The 12,787-nt window shown below is 47.3% G+C and overlaps 1 protein-coding gene across 32 annotated transcripts in view; it reads left to right on the top strand.

The window, feature by feature from the left end:
* MYT1L (myelin transcription factor 1 like) overlaps positions 1 to 12,787 on the top strand; it is a 542,163-nt gene that overhangs the window by 329,973 nt on the left and 199,403 nt on the right. For all 32 annotated transcript variants that reach the window (NM_015025.4, NM_001303052.2, XM_011510326.2 and 29 more), the window contains one exon: positions 3,956 to 4,112. The gene's annotated coding sequence lies outside the window, so the exon portion shown is untranslated. The remainder of the gene's footprint in view (positions 1 to 3,955; positions 4,113 to 12,787) is intronic.

The following is a 12,787-nucleotide window of genomic DNA, read 5'->3' as shown; positions in this document are numbered from 1 at the left end:
TTTAGAAAACCTTCCAGAACATGGAGAAGAAAGAGATAAAAAAAAAAAGCAAAAAAAAAAAAAAAGCTAAAACCAATGGAAGATAAATTTAGACAATCCAAATCCATTTAGTAGTAGAAATTCAAAAAAACTAATAGTGATAAAGGAAATAAAGAGGGGGAAATTAATAAAGAAAGAAGAAAGTTCTCGGAGATGAACAGTTTTCAGGTTGTATGGGGGCACGAATGTCAAGCATTAAGAATGAAAAAAGGTTGACAAACCTAAACACATCAAACTCATCAAACTCCAGAAAACCAACAGGAAGAGAAGACCCTAGACCTGTTCAGAGAGAAAACCCGTGCTTCTGAGCTTCTGAGCTTCCCAGGGGAACCAGGATTAGACTGCAGACTGGCCTGGCAATGGAGTGGAACCGTTCATAAACCTGAACACCACGCATGCATAGCATAGAATAAAATAGCCTCAGGGCCTTTGCAATCTTGGGTGAGATCATTATCCCCTTAGTGAAATAAATATTTCTGACATGCAGGGCCTTAGAACCCTTACGTGGAGGTCCCCATTCTGAAAAAAAATGCCTGGGGCTCTGTGTCCACAAACTGGAGAAGAAATCCAAAAGAGAATGGTGTGGGACACTCAAACCATGGGATTCATAAGAAACCCAAAATAAACAACCCCCTGTCCTCAGGTCATGTGGAGTCGGCTGTATTGGGAGGGCAGAGGAGCGGGGCAGGCATAGCCCCTACACACCACACCCACCCTGTGGTCCCTCTGAGACAGGACCTGCCCAGCCCAGGGAGAAGTGCCCGTCACTCAGGCCAACTCTTCTTGTCAAGCTCTGGAGATGGCCACTTGTGAATGCTTGGTTTTCAAAAGCAAATAAACAGAAACAAATTAGGTCTGAGACCTTGCTTGCCTAAAATAGATTTCCCAGAGGAAATTTCTGCCTCTGACTTTAAATATTTTTTTTAAATGAACTAGGAGCCACAAAAGGGGGATTTTGGTAGGTTCTTGACCCCCCTGCCCTGGGACAGGAGTCTGTGCACCAGGTTGTGGCCGCAGAGGCTCGGAGGACGGACTCGAACCCCTGCCCTGGGACAGGACTCTGTGCACCAGGTTGTGGCCACAGAGGCTCAGGGGACTGCCTGGCTGCCCTGCTCCTGCCCAGGGAGGGGAGCTGTAGGTTTTGTGCAGTACTTTGTTCTGGAGTCATGCACAGCCACCTTCTGATTAGAATAACGTGGACGGATTTCAGGCAAGGAACTTCTCCATCACATCATTATTCTTTGTTCTGTTGGCTCTTTAAGGAGCATTGTCTAGCATAAGGTTATTGTTCATAAAATCCCACCAATGAGCATGCTTTATATGACAACTTTAATAAGAACCTCACACGCATTTGAATTTATACTATGAATATGAATTGTAGCATACTTTGCTTGTCATTCATTAATAACTGTTTAATTTTTAGATATGAGCTAGTCATATGTATGTTTCTGGGTATTATTACTAATATTCCATTGATATTAGCTGATTGCAAAATGCTTTTTAAAGTAACTATAGCTTTATAAAATAATTTACTAAAAAAGACAAACACCCCACATATGTCACAGCATGAAAACTGAGCATGTTGCCAATGTATTAACTCGTTTTCATTTTTTTTATTTTAATAGATTATGTTGAGTTTTCCATTTATTGACCTTTGGGGTGGTAAATTTAAAGATGGCCATGGAATTTCTTTTTTATGCAAAAATACATTTTTATATTTTTAAATTTTCTGTTCTTTCATATTTTCCATTTGTCTTTACACCCAAAATAAATTATTTTTCTACATATTTAAGATTTCAACTGTGTCAATTCCAGCTTCTGTCTATTCTTTCTCTCCACCTTGCCTTGAGTTGATGTAGCGATATCTTACCCATCTGTTTTATACTGCATTACCCGTGTCTAGCAGAGTGCCAGAGACTCAGCCCTCAGTCAAGGGTGGGCAAATTAACTGGTCACATTCATATGTAGGGAGCCAGAATTTTCTGTATGTGACCTTTGCTGCTTGTCTAGATCATCACATTTAGAAATTAGAAACTGAAAATGTATATTAATAAATTGGTATCCAGTGATATTAATATCACTGCCTACTATCATTTATTGAGCACTTAATGATAAGCCAGACATTTTTGATATATTATTTAATTCAGACATTGAAAGTCTAGGAAATTAATGCTTATGAAACAACATGCTCAAATCATGAAGTAGTAAGTGGTGGTGCTGTTATAACCCATTCTGTCTAATCGCACATTGTTTACGCGTTGAAGATTTTGCTTGTTGCTTGGGTCACATGTAGAGCATGTCTGATCATTTAGAATCTGTCTTCACAGGGCAGTGCGAACATTTTCTTTCTCTTTTTCTTTCTTTTCTTTTTTTTTCCCCCAGTGAATCCATGTTAACCACTAGGAGCAGGCACATAAGATCCAAAGGCGGGTAGGAATTGTGTGGGCTCTGGGGTCTCGCATAACAGAGGATTCTGTAAGATAGTTCAGAGTTCATGGTAATGTTTAGGGGAGTTATCGTATCCAAAGGAGGGGTAAGAGAAGTTCTTTTGTTTTAAACTACAATGTAGTAGAGAAAAAAGATCAATCTGGTCTAATTCCTTTCTCCTTCAAGGGACTAATCAGGATTTTTAACCTTCTGAGGTTCATATCTACCATTATGTTCTTGACAAGACATACATGCTCCATCCCTTATTAACTGTGTGTATGGACGAAATTGTTCTCTGGGGAAAATTAAGTACACAAGGAAAGGGTTTAGGGCTCAGTCCCTAATGGTCAGCAGAAGTGGACAAGGTGGGTTAGTTTCCAGGTCGAAGGAAAAGATTTGCGAATTCTGGGGAAAATGTCCCTATTATGACTCCCTGTATTTCTTATTTAACTCTACGCTCTGGTTTCCTGTTGCTCTAATGAGGAATTGCATAGAAAGTGCAGCGGCACTTCCATGATGGTTATCTGCATCAAGCTGCATCATCGCAGGGCTCCGGGCTCTCTGCTCACTTGACCTGTTGAGGTTCAAAACAGCCCAGAGAGGTTTAGTCCTGTCAACCCTGGAGAGCAAGAAGCACTGAATCCTTTGGAATGGAAATCATAAGGGGACAATTATCCAATGCCACCACCCAAGGCTCCCCGAGGACCTAGTGGCGAGACTCAAATTCCCTGACCCGTGTCTCAGCGTTGTGGGTCCTTCCTGAGCATGTGTAGGGACAGGCCTTAATTCATGGTGGGAAGAACTATACTGGATCTCAACACAGATAATTCAGTTTCAATTATTATCTCCTGACTAACTGGGGAGTTCTGAGCACTCTCTGATACTCTCTGAGTATCAGTATCTTTATTCATAAAATTCACATAAAGTTCAATTGATGGCCAAATGACATAATGGGTAAGAAAGTGTTTTGTAAGGTTTTTAGTTCTATGAATTTTAAGGAGACTAGGCTGGTCCTCTCACCCCAGAAGTCCCTGGAGACATCACAGAATAAATAAGGGTGACAGCACGAATCCTGGTGTGGAGCTCCTCCATGATGCTGCCACACGGGCTGAGTCTACCCCGAGTCTGGGAAGGAGGGAGGATAAGGCTGTGTGCAGGGCTTCTGGTCCACAGGAACTGGGAGCTCATGGAACCATATCAGGCAGAGCACAGAGCTGACGTAGCTGGCAGAGAACAAGCTGTCCCAGCTGGGGCTTGCTCCCAACAGGAGCCTGGGCAAGGGTCAGAGTCCGAACAGCAGGCGTCAAGCCTAGGAGAATAAACTCTAAAGGGGAATGCGTTGCTCATGGACATGAAAGAGAACATTTGGTTCCTGGAGGAAGCTGCTGTGTGCATGTTGACGGTTGCAAAGAGGACGCCCTGTGTATGTCTCTCCCTAAGGTGGCGATGAATTCATGAGGTGCTGTATATTGCTTTTTATATTTTACAGATGGAGAAATCAAGGCATAGAGAGATTAAGTGACTTTGCCACAGTCACAAGCTGGAGAGGACCAGGAGTAGAGCTTAGAGCGAGCCCCTGACTCTGGGCCTGCGTCCTGCCAGGAGTCACGCTGCCTCCGTTCCTAGGAGAGAAGACTTCCTGTAAGGTAAAGGCGGCCCGTCTACACTCGGTTCTGTGCAGCCCACACTGAAGCAGGGTGGCCCTCACTAGGTAAAGGCGGCCCGTCTACACTCGGTTCTGTACAGCCCACACTGAGGCAGGGCGGCCCTCACTCACTAGGTAAAGGCAGCCCGTCTACACTCGGTTCTGTACAGCCCACACTGAAGCAGGGCGGCCCTCACTAGGTAAAGGCGGCCCGTCTACACTCGGTTCTGTGCAGCCCACACTGAGGCAGGGCAGCCCTCACTCACTAGGTAAAGGCAGCCCGTCTACACTCGGTTCCATGCAGTCCACACTGAAGCAGGGCGGCCCTCACTCACTAGGTAAAGGCGGCCCGTCTACACTCGGTTCTGTGCAGCCCACACTGAGGCAGGGCGGCCCTCGCTCACTAGGTAAAGGCGGCCCGTCTACACTCGGTTCTGTGCAGCCCACACTGAGGTAGGGTGGCCCTCACTCACTAGGTAAAGGCGGCCCATCTACACTCGGTTCTGTGCAGCCCACACTGAAGCAGGGTGGCCCTCACTAGGTAAAGGCGGCCCGTCTACACTCGGTTCTGTACAGCCCACACTGAGGCAGGGCGGCCCTCACTCACTAGGTAAAGGCAGCCCGTCTACACTCGGTTCTGTGCAGCCCACACTGAGGCAGGGCGGCCCTCACTCACTAGGTAAAGGCGGCCCGTCTACACTCGGCTCTGTGCAGCCCACACTGAGGCAGGGCAGCCCTCACTCACTAGGTAAAGGCGGCCCATCTATACTCGGTTCTGTGCAGTCCACACTGAGGCAAGACGGCCCTCACTCACTAGGTAAAGGTGGCCCGTCTACACTCGGTTCTGTACAGCCCACACTGAGGCAAGACGGCCCTCACTCAGTAGGTAAAGGTGGCCTGTCTACACTCGGTTCTGTACAGTCCACACTGAGGCAGGGCGGCCCCCACTGTAGACGGTTAGGTTGTGTGCTCTCTGCGTGTGAGAAAAGAACTAAATAAACAGCAGCACTCACATCTCCTAGCCCGGTTTCCTAGCCTCTTCCAGACCACATTGTCCACAAACCACTTCCTTATGTGGTCAAAACAATCAGCCTGCACACCGCTTCCTCCACCTCAGCCTCTCCGGCCCTTCCCTCTTCCACTTTCCATCCTGGGAAGATGCCTCAGCTTTTTCTTGTAAACCATTCCTTCAGATTTCCCCCTCTCCTCTTCCATATCAGTCACTTCTTCCTTTCTGATGGCTGGATTGACCCCATCTTGGATTCTAAGAAACAGAGGGCAGCTTCCTTCCTCTCTCTTGTAGCTCTTCACTTGCCTCTGTCCCCTGGGGCAGTCCTAGGCAGAGCCGCTGCCCACCTCGTCACCTGCAGCAGCCCTGAGAATCCCACTACACGCTGGCCTCCTCCTGGGACTCCCCTTGATAAAGGAGCACCAAGCCCAGGCAGTGTTGTCTGGGACGGGGATTTCGGCATCAGCTGGTCCCACGCCCATCACCCGGGAACAAAGGGTCTGTGCTTCGAACCCACACGGGAGGGCCTCTCTCATGCTCAACCACTACCCGGCAGCAGTGGTCAGCGAGAGACCACCCACTCACTTCCTTCAGTCCTCCCCCTACAGCGGCTGTGCTGACAACATAATGTTCCTTCCTTTTCCCTTCCACCCCTTCTAGAACTTTCTCCTCTCTTCTGCAAGAGGCAGGTGTTTTTTTAGGGTTTTCTCTTATTATTTAGAATGCTCTTGTTGATGCTTTTTTTCTTTCCTGCTCCTTGAAGGGAGGGCAGTGTGATATTAGCGGTGCATTTCTCTCATGGTGAAGGGCACTCCCAGCAGGAGAGCGCAGTGAGGACGACAGTCTAGTGAACTCACAGCTACCGCACTGGGCACATAGCAGCGTCCCCTCACACGTGTGGAGCCCTGTGCATTTTCCGGGTTCTTCCACACATGCTAGAGTGTTCACATCCACCCCGTCACATAAACACACAGGAAAGACATTCCTGTGGAATAGTTCGTGCAGATGATAAAATAGATGCCTGAAAGCTAAAACGACACAGTAAGTAGGAAAAAAAAAAAACTATTCCAAGCCCATACCCTGTCTCTAAACTTCATGTTTCCCATTTAATAACTTTCAGAACATTTTCATTTCTATGACTTTTCTGTGGAATAACGTATTTCCTCCCCAGTGAATACTTAACATATGTCACAGATTCCACATTCTATCACTTGTAGACACAGGTTTCTCTAAGTTTTCTGTCTGTTCTTTATTCTTTTAGTATTTTCCTCCCCCTAAAAAATAAGTAGAATAATTTAAAAAAATTAAAAAGAATATGCAAACTAGAAAAATCATTAAGATAATTTCAAATACCTGTATAAATGGGAAGTTCCAGTAATATTTTTCTATGGCAAAACATATTTGAATTTTTAATTTTAAATTTTTTTTACCACATTACTAAAATCTGAATTAGGGAGAAGTAAAGATAGAAAATGCTGAATATAAACCAGATGTAGTCTCAGAACAGCCCTATAGATCAGCAATACAGAACACTGTCTATTACTTGTTAAAATCAGCTCTTCAGTCACATTTGTGTTTTTTGTAGCTATCAAAGAGAGCTTTTTTCACTAGCACCGTAGCCACACATCTGCTGGGACAGGCATTCATCAGGGAGGGAGCCGACACCTCTGAGCATCACCAGGAGACAGCACGGCCCAGGGGTGGAGTCAGTGGAGTCAGATGCCCCCAGGAGGACTCGCTGGGAGGAGGGGGCAGGGCGTGAACCAGGGCTGAGCCCCCCAGGAGGACTCGCTGGGAGGAGGGAGCAGGGCCTGAACCAGGGCTGAGCCCCCCAGGAGGACTCGCTGGGAGGAGGGAGCAGGGCGTGAACCAGGGCTGAGCCCCCCAGGAGGACTCGCTGGGAGGAGGGAGCAGGGCCTGAACCAGGGCTGAGCCTGGTGAGGGCACCGGAAGGAACAGGCCCGTCAGGGGCTCGGCCACTCACCCCAAAATGCAAGGCTTAGTGAGAAAGTCACATGCAGGCCACGGAGACTGGGATTCTTTTCAAATGACTGAATGACCGAAAACGTTTATGTATACATGGGAAAAAATACCATGAGCAAAATAGAAAAACAACAAAACAATATCAACAATAAGCTGTAAGAAAATACTGGTGACAGATAAGGTGGGCAAAGGGGTTAGCACCGCAGTGTACAGACAGCTATTATGAATCAATGTGAAAAATGTGAAAAGAAAGAAGAAAAACAGGCAAAGGATATGAATCACAATTTCACAGACGAGGAGCTGTGGACGGTGAGGGTGTGAGAGAACGCTTACCCTCCCTGGGGGCCAGGAAATGACGAGACACGTGGCTTTACTCAACCAAAGCCAAGGACGGAATAAAATTAAAGGTGACCAGCGCTTCCAGAAACCAGCATGATCACATGTTACTAAAAAGGGCGTGGAATGTTTTCTTTTTTAATGGTAAAGTGACGATATCTTTTTAGAAAACTCTATTCTGGAAATACATGCAAAATACATGTAATCATTTTTGTAAATTATTTTTGTAGTGAAATAAAACAACATAAGCCTTGTTAGTAAAGGAACTTGGAGGGCTGGCTGGATAAATTATAGTAGGTATATTCTGAGGAATACTATGCAGCCATTCAAAAAGATGAGTTCAATGGATAGACATTAGCCTAGAGAGATGGCTGTGATTTTTTTTTAAGTGAAAAATAGCAAGTACAAAAAAGTTTTGTAAACAGAGCCTGATTTTGTAAACAATAAATATACAAAGAGCCTGCTCTGTGTATTCATTCCATTGTGGAGTGGAGTGAAGGTTGGTTTCCTCCAGTAAGAAAATTGGCTGTGGGAAGAGAGACAGCAGCGGCTGCCCAATCCCCACCTGGCGGACCCCTGTGTGCCTGTTTGTACTTCAACCCGATAATGTAACCGCCCAAGGGGTTCACCTTGCCTGCTGCCCAGACAGAGCTGATTCACCAAGACGGGGGAATTGCAATAGAGAAAGAGTAATTCACTCAGGGCATCTGTGTGGGAGGCTGGAGTTTCATTATTACTCCAGTCAGTCTCCCCCGAGCATTCAAGGAGCAGAGTTTTTAAGGATAACTTGGTGGGTAGGGGGAAGCCAGTGAGCCAGGAGTGCTGATTGGTCAGGGATGAGATCATAGGGAGGTGGAGCTGTCTTCTTGCGCTCAGTCAGTTCCTGGGTTGGGGCCATAAGATCAGATGAGCCAGTTTATTGATCCGGGTGGTGCCAGCTGATCCATCAGGTGCAGGGTCTGCAAAATATCAGAACACTGGTCTTAGGAGCAGCTTAGGGAGGGTCAGAATCTTGTAGCCTCCAGCTGCATGACTCCTAAATCATAATTTTAAATCTTATGGCTAATGTTAGTTCCACAAGGGCAATGTAGTCCCCAGGCAAGAAGGAGGTCTGCTTTGGGAAAGGGCCGTTATCATCTTTGTTTAAACTGTAAACTAAGTTTCTCCCAAAGCTAATTCAGCCTTTGCCCAGGAATGAATATGGACAGCTTGGATGTTAAAAGCAAGATGGAGTGGGTTAAGTCAGATCTCTTTCACTGTGTCAGTCATAATTTTGCAAAGGCAAGTAAGGAAAAGGAGGCATTATTGCTAGACTTGGGGTAATCAGCAGAGAACCACTCTGGGTTCTTATGCCCGAGAATTCCCGGACAGAAGGCATCACAGCGGGGCATGGGGGATAGACAGGAAAGCAGGGGAGGGGAGCACCTGGGGACTCCAGCAATGCTCCCTCTTGGTAGGATCAGGCATGGAGGAGGGTGGTGTCCAGGCAGATGCAAGGAAACGGGAAAAAATGGCAACAGCCAAAACCAGAATGTGATAAATTATTTGATAGGGGAAAGGGGGAAAAACTAGCCAAGTATTATTTTAAAGCTTCGGAAGGGAAGAACAATCACCTCATACATTCAGGAACTAACTATGGAGAACGTGGACCGACGCTGGGTTGTCATGAGGCCCCACCTCACAAGCTCTTACAGCCAGTGAACTGTGCAGAAAAACCGATGTCTAATAAATAAATTTGCAAAACGGTGAGGAAGGAGAAAGGAGACAGCAGTGCCTAACTGTGCGATAGGAATTAGGGGCGTGGTTAAGGGAAAACCCTAAGATGAACTTGATGTGACAGAGGCAGCAAGGAGTGCTGACCGGAGAGGTTAGGGCTGAAAACGCCAGTTCGAATCCTTCTTTGTGGAGCAGGAGAGGCAGCTATGATGTCCTCTGAGAGGTGAAAGGACCAGGATAGAGCTCTGAGAGCCAGTGTGGTGAACCCGAGAGATGGAAATTTGGGGGAACGTGATCCAGAGAATCCTAGTCTTCGCTGATGGAGAGGAATTGACAAGACTGTGGATTTGGGGGATGGGTCAGTGGTGTTCTTTGAAAGAAGGATGTTAAAAGTGATAGCCAACAGGGTCCTGACTGCATGAGAGAGGGCAGGTTAGCCGTTGGAGGGTGGAGGGGTCTGAGCTGAAGGAAAGCAGGAGGCGAACCAGGCGAGAGGGATGGACAGACACACTGGAAAGAAGGATGGGAGAGAGTGGGTCCTCAGAGGTCAGCTTTAAGAAAAGGATCTAGGTCAGGCGCAGTGGCTCACACCTAAAATTCCAGAACTTTTGGAGGCTGAGGCAGAGGATCACTCGAGGCCAGGAGTTTGAGACCAGCCTGGACAACATGGTGGCAAAAAATACACAGATTAGCCAGACATGGTGTGCACCTGTAATCCCAGAGTCTCAGGGGCTGAGGGGAAAGGCCACTTGGGTCTAGGAGGTCCAAGGCTGCGGCGAGCCATGATCGTGTCACTGAAACTCCAGCCAGAGTAGCAGAGTCTCCAAAAAGAAAAGAAAAAGATACAGCGAGACCCTCACAAGAGGGGGCGGCGGCAGGGGCTGATGTGGAAGCGTAGGTGGGATCCAACAGGAGCCCCGGATCCACCCTGTGATTTGGGGCCACGATTCCTGGCAGCGAGCAGAGATTTCAATGGAAACTTCTTACTCGGAAGCAGGCTGGAAGGGGATATTGAATGAGAGACGTAGTTGAGACCAGCGGAGGGGCTGGCTTCAATGGCTCCTCTGCTCTTCCTTGTAAAGAGAACAGCAAGCTTGCTGCCTGAGAGGGGACAAGATGGGAAGTGCAGGTTGCAAGGGAGAGCAGTCTCCATCAGCCCTGGGATGAGCTTAGCCCACAAAGGAAGCTGGCACGGCAGGAGGACCCAGATGGCCGCCTGTGAGGCTGCACAGCAGATTCCTGGGCTCTGTTCCAACACATCCCAGAGCAGTGTGCACCAGGGCATGCGCCAGCCTTGCTTCTTCACATGGTATTGTCCTGGCTGAGTTGTGGCAATGGACGCTGAGGGCTCTAGACGACTGGGCCTGTTCCAGAGCACCTTAGAAGGCAGGGCTGGTCCTGGCAGTCCACACAGAACTGCCGTTCTTTTCCCCAGAACTCTCTCCAAGCCGCTCCCTTCTTTGGCTTCTCAACATCTCTGGGAATATGTGGGTGCTGTTGCCCACATGTGTCATCGAGACACCCCTGGCCATGGAGCTTAGATAACTTGCCTGAACTCATACAGCTAAGAGGAGACAAAGGCAGGGTGTGACCCTGGGAGGTTGAGCTCCTTACCCCACTCTTCCCCACTGCCCTCCATGGCACCCGCAGTGGTTTTTCTATTTTGGTGCTGAGTTCATCCTGTCTTGGGTTACAGCTTGGTGCTTGAGTATCTGTCTTCCTCGTGATTTCCTGAGGGTCTCTTATTTACAAGAAACCATGCCACAAATTGAGGAACCACAGAATTCAAGAATGAATTGAAAAAGCCCTCACCCTCAGGAAGTGTGCACTGCTGTGTAGCTATGTGTGAGTTTATAAATAGGTACAATAGAGGATAGAGGGTGAGGAGCCCTCACTGGTGGTACAGGGAGAACTGTGAGTTCCCACAAGAGATGGCGTCCGCCCAGGAATGGGGAGCATCAGCTACACCTCCTAGATCAGGACTGTGTCCCTTGACCACACCGTTTATCCTGCAAGACACTGATTTTACAGGTGCCAAAAGGCCAGAGATGATTTTTATTTCATACTATACTTGTGTGAAAAAGCATAAACTACCAGCCATTAAAATTATCCTTAGTCTAAGTGGTTTTTGTTGTTGTTTGGTTTTTTTTGAGACGGAGTTTCACTCTTGCTGCCCAGGCTGGAGTGCAATGGTGGATCTCAGCTCACTGCAACCCCCGCCTCCCAGGTTTAAGCAATTCTCCTGTCTCAGCCTCCAGAGTAGCTGGGATTACAGACACCCGCCACCATGCCCAGCTAACTTTTGTATTTTTGGTAGAGACGGGGTTTTCACCATGTTAGCCAGGCTGGTCTCGAACTCCTGACCTCAGGTGATCCACCTACCTTGGCCTCCCAAAGTGCTGGGATTACAGGTGTGAGCCACCACACCTGGCCCCTAGTCTAAGTTTTTTGAATGTTCATTACTTACCTAATATTTATGATGTTTCCCCCTATAGGTAGGAAACGTTTCCCTTTATTTTACTCATTTTCTTTCCTGCGTAGAGCATCTGTGACTCTTAACTAAATTATTTCCGTATTGTCAAGAAGGTGTGTCCAACCTTCATGCGATCCTTAATCAAACCTTGTTATTTGTATTTAGTACAACTCAGCAAATATTTATCCAGCCACTGCCCTGTGCCAAGTGCCATGCTGAGGGCTGCAGAATGAGAAGATGTAGGGTGCACTCTCGCTTCTGTCCTGGGATTGCCGGGCTGCAGCTCCTGGGCTGGGTTTCTCCTGGCATGCAGAGAGCCGCCTCTTCTAGCAATGACCCAGTTCCCCAGGCTTCAGGACTGCAGCTCCTGAGAAGACACTCTCAGCTGCTCCCTTGCCTGGCACAGGGAACTTAGGAGTCCAAATCCTGTTAAAAATGAAGAATTAGTTGAATTAAAGGAGACTGTGAAGAGTCCAAGAAAAATATTCTCATCTAGAAAAGAAAGTTGTGTTCCCACCTGACACACACACACACACGCACTTTTTAGATTTTGTAAATGCAACTAAACGTTTGGCTGTAGGAGTCCTGGAGACTGTACTCTGGGGCCAAAGTACCAGCATACTAGTTCAGGGACATGAAAGGCTAATATAATATTTGGTATTATGAGAAGGTAATCAACAGTACCCAGAGGACTTCATCTTACCCTACATAAGAAGGGCTATGCAGTTATCTGTAACATGGATTCCACAAGCATTTGTTTCTTATCCCTTTGGGAAAACTTACAACACCCAGACATGGAAATAAGAAGAAAGCACCAAGCATATCCTCAGCATCGGCTATGTACCCAGCCAGGCGCAGTGGCTCATGCCTGTAATCACAGCACTTTGGGAGGCTGATGTGGGTGGATCACTTGAGCTCAGGAGTTGGAGAGCATCTGCTATGCACCAAGCTCTGTAAAAGGTTCTTACCTAAGATTCTTTTATTCAGTCCTCTCCACCACCCAATGCGGTAAGCAGGGATTTTACACATGAAAATACTCAGATTCATAAAGGTGATTGTGCCCAGCATAAGCAGGTTTGTGTATGGAGCCAGCACTGGCACTGCAGGCTGTCACCCCGTCATGCACATGTATGCTGCTGCTGCCCCGCACGGTGCACAG

Source organism: Homo sapiens, chromosome 2 (assembly GCF_000001405.40).
Source record: "Homo sapiens chromosome 2, GRCh38.p14 Primary Assembly".
Lineage (NCBI taxonomy): Eukaryota > Metazoa > Chordata > Mammalia > Primates > Hominidae > Homo > Homo sapiens.
This window is presented reverse-complemented; position numbering and strand designations above follow the sequence as displayed.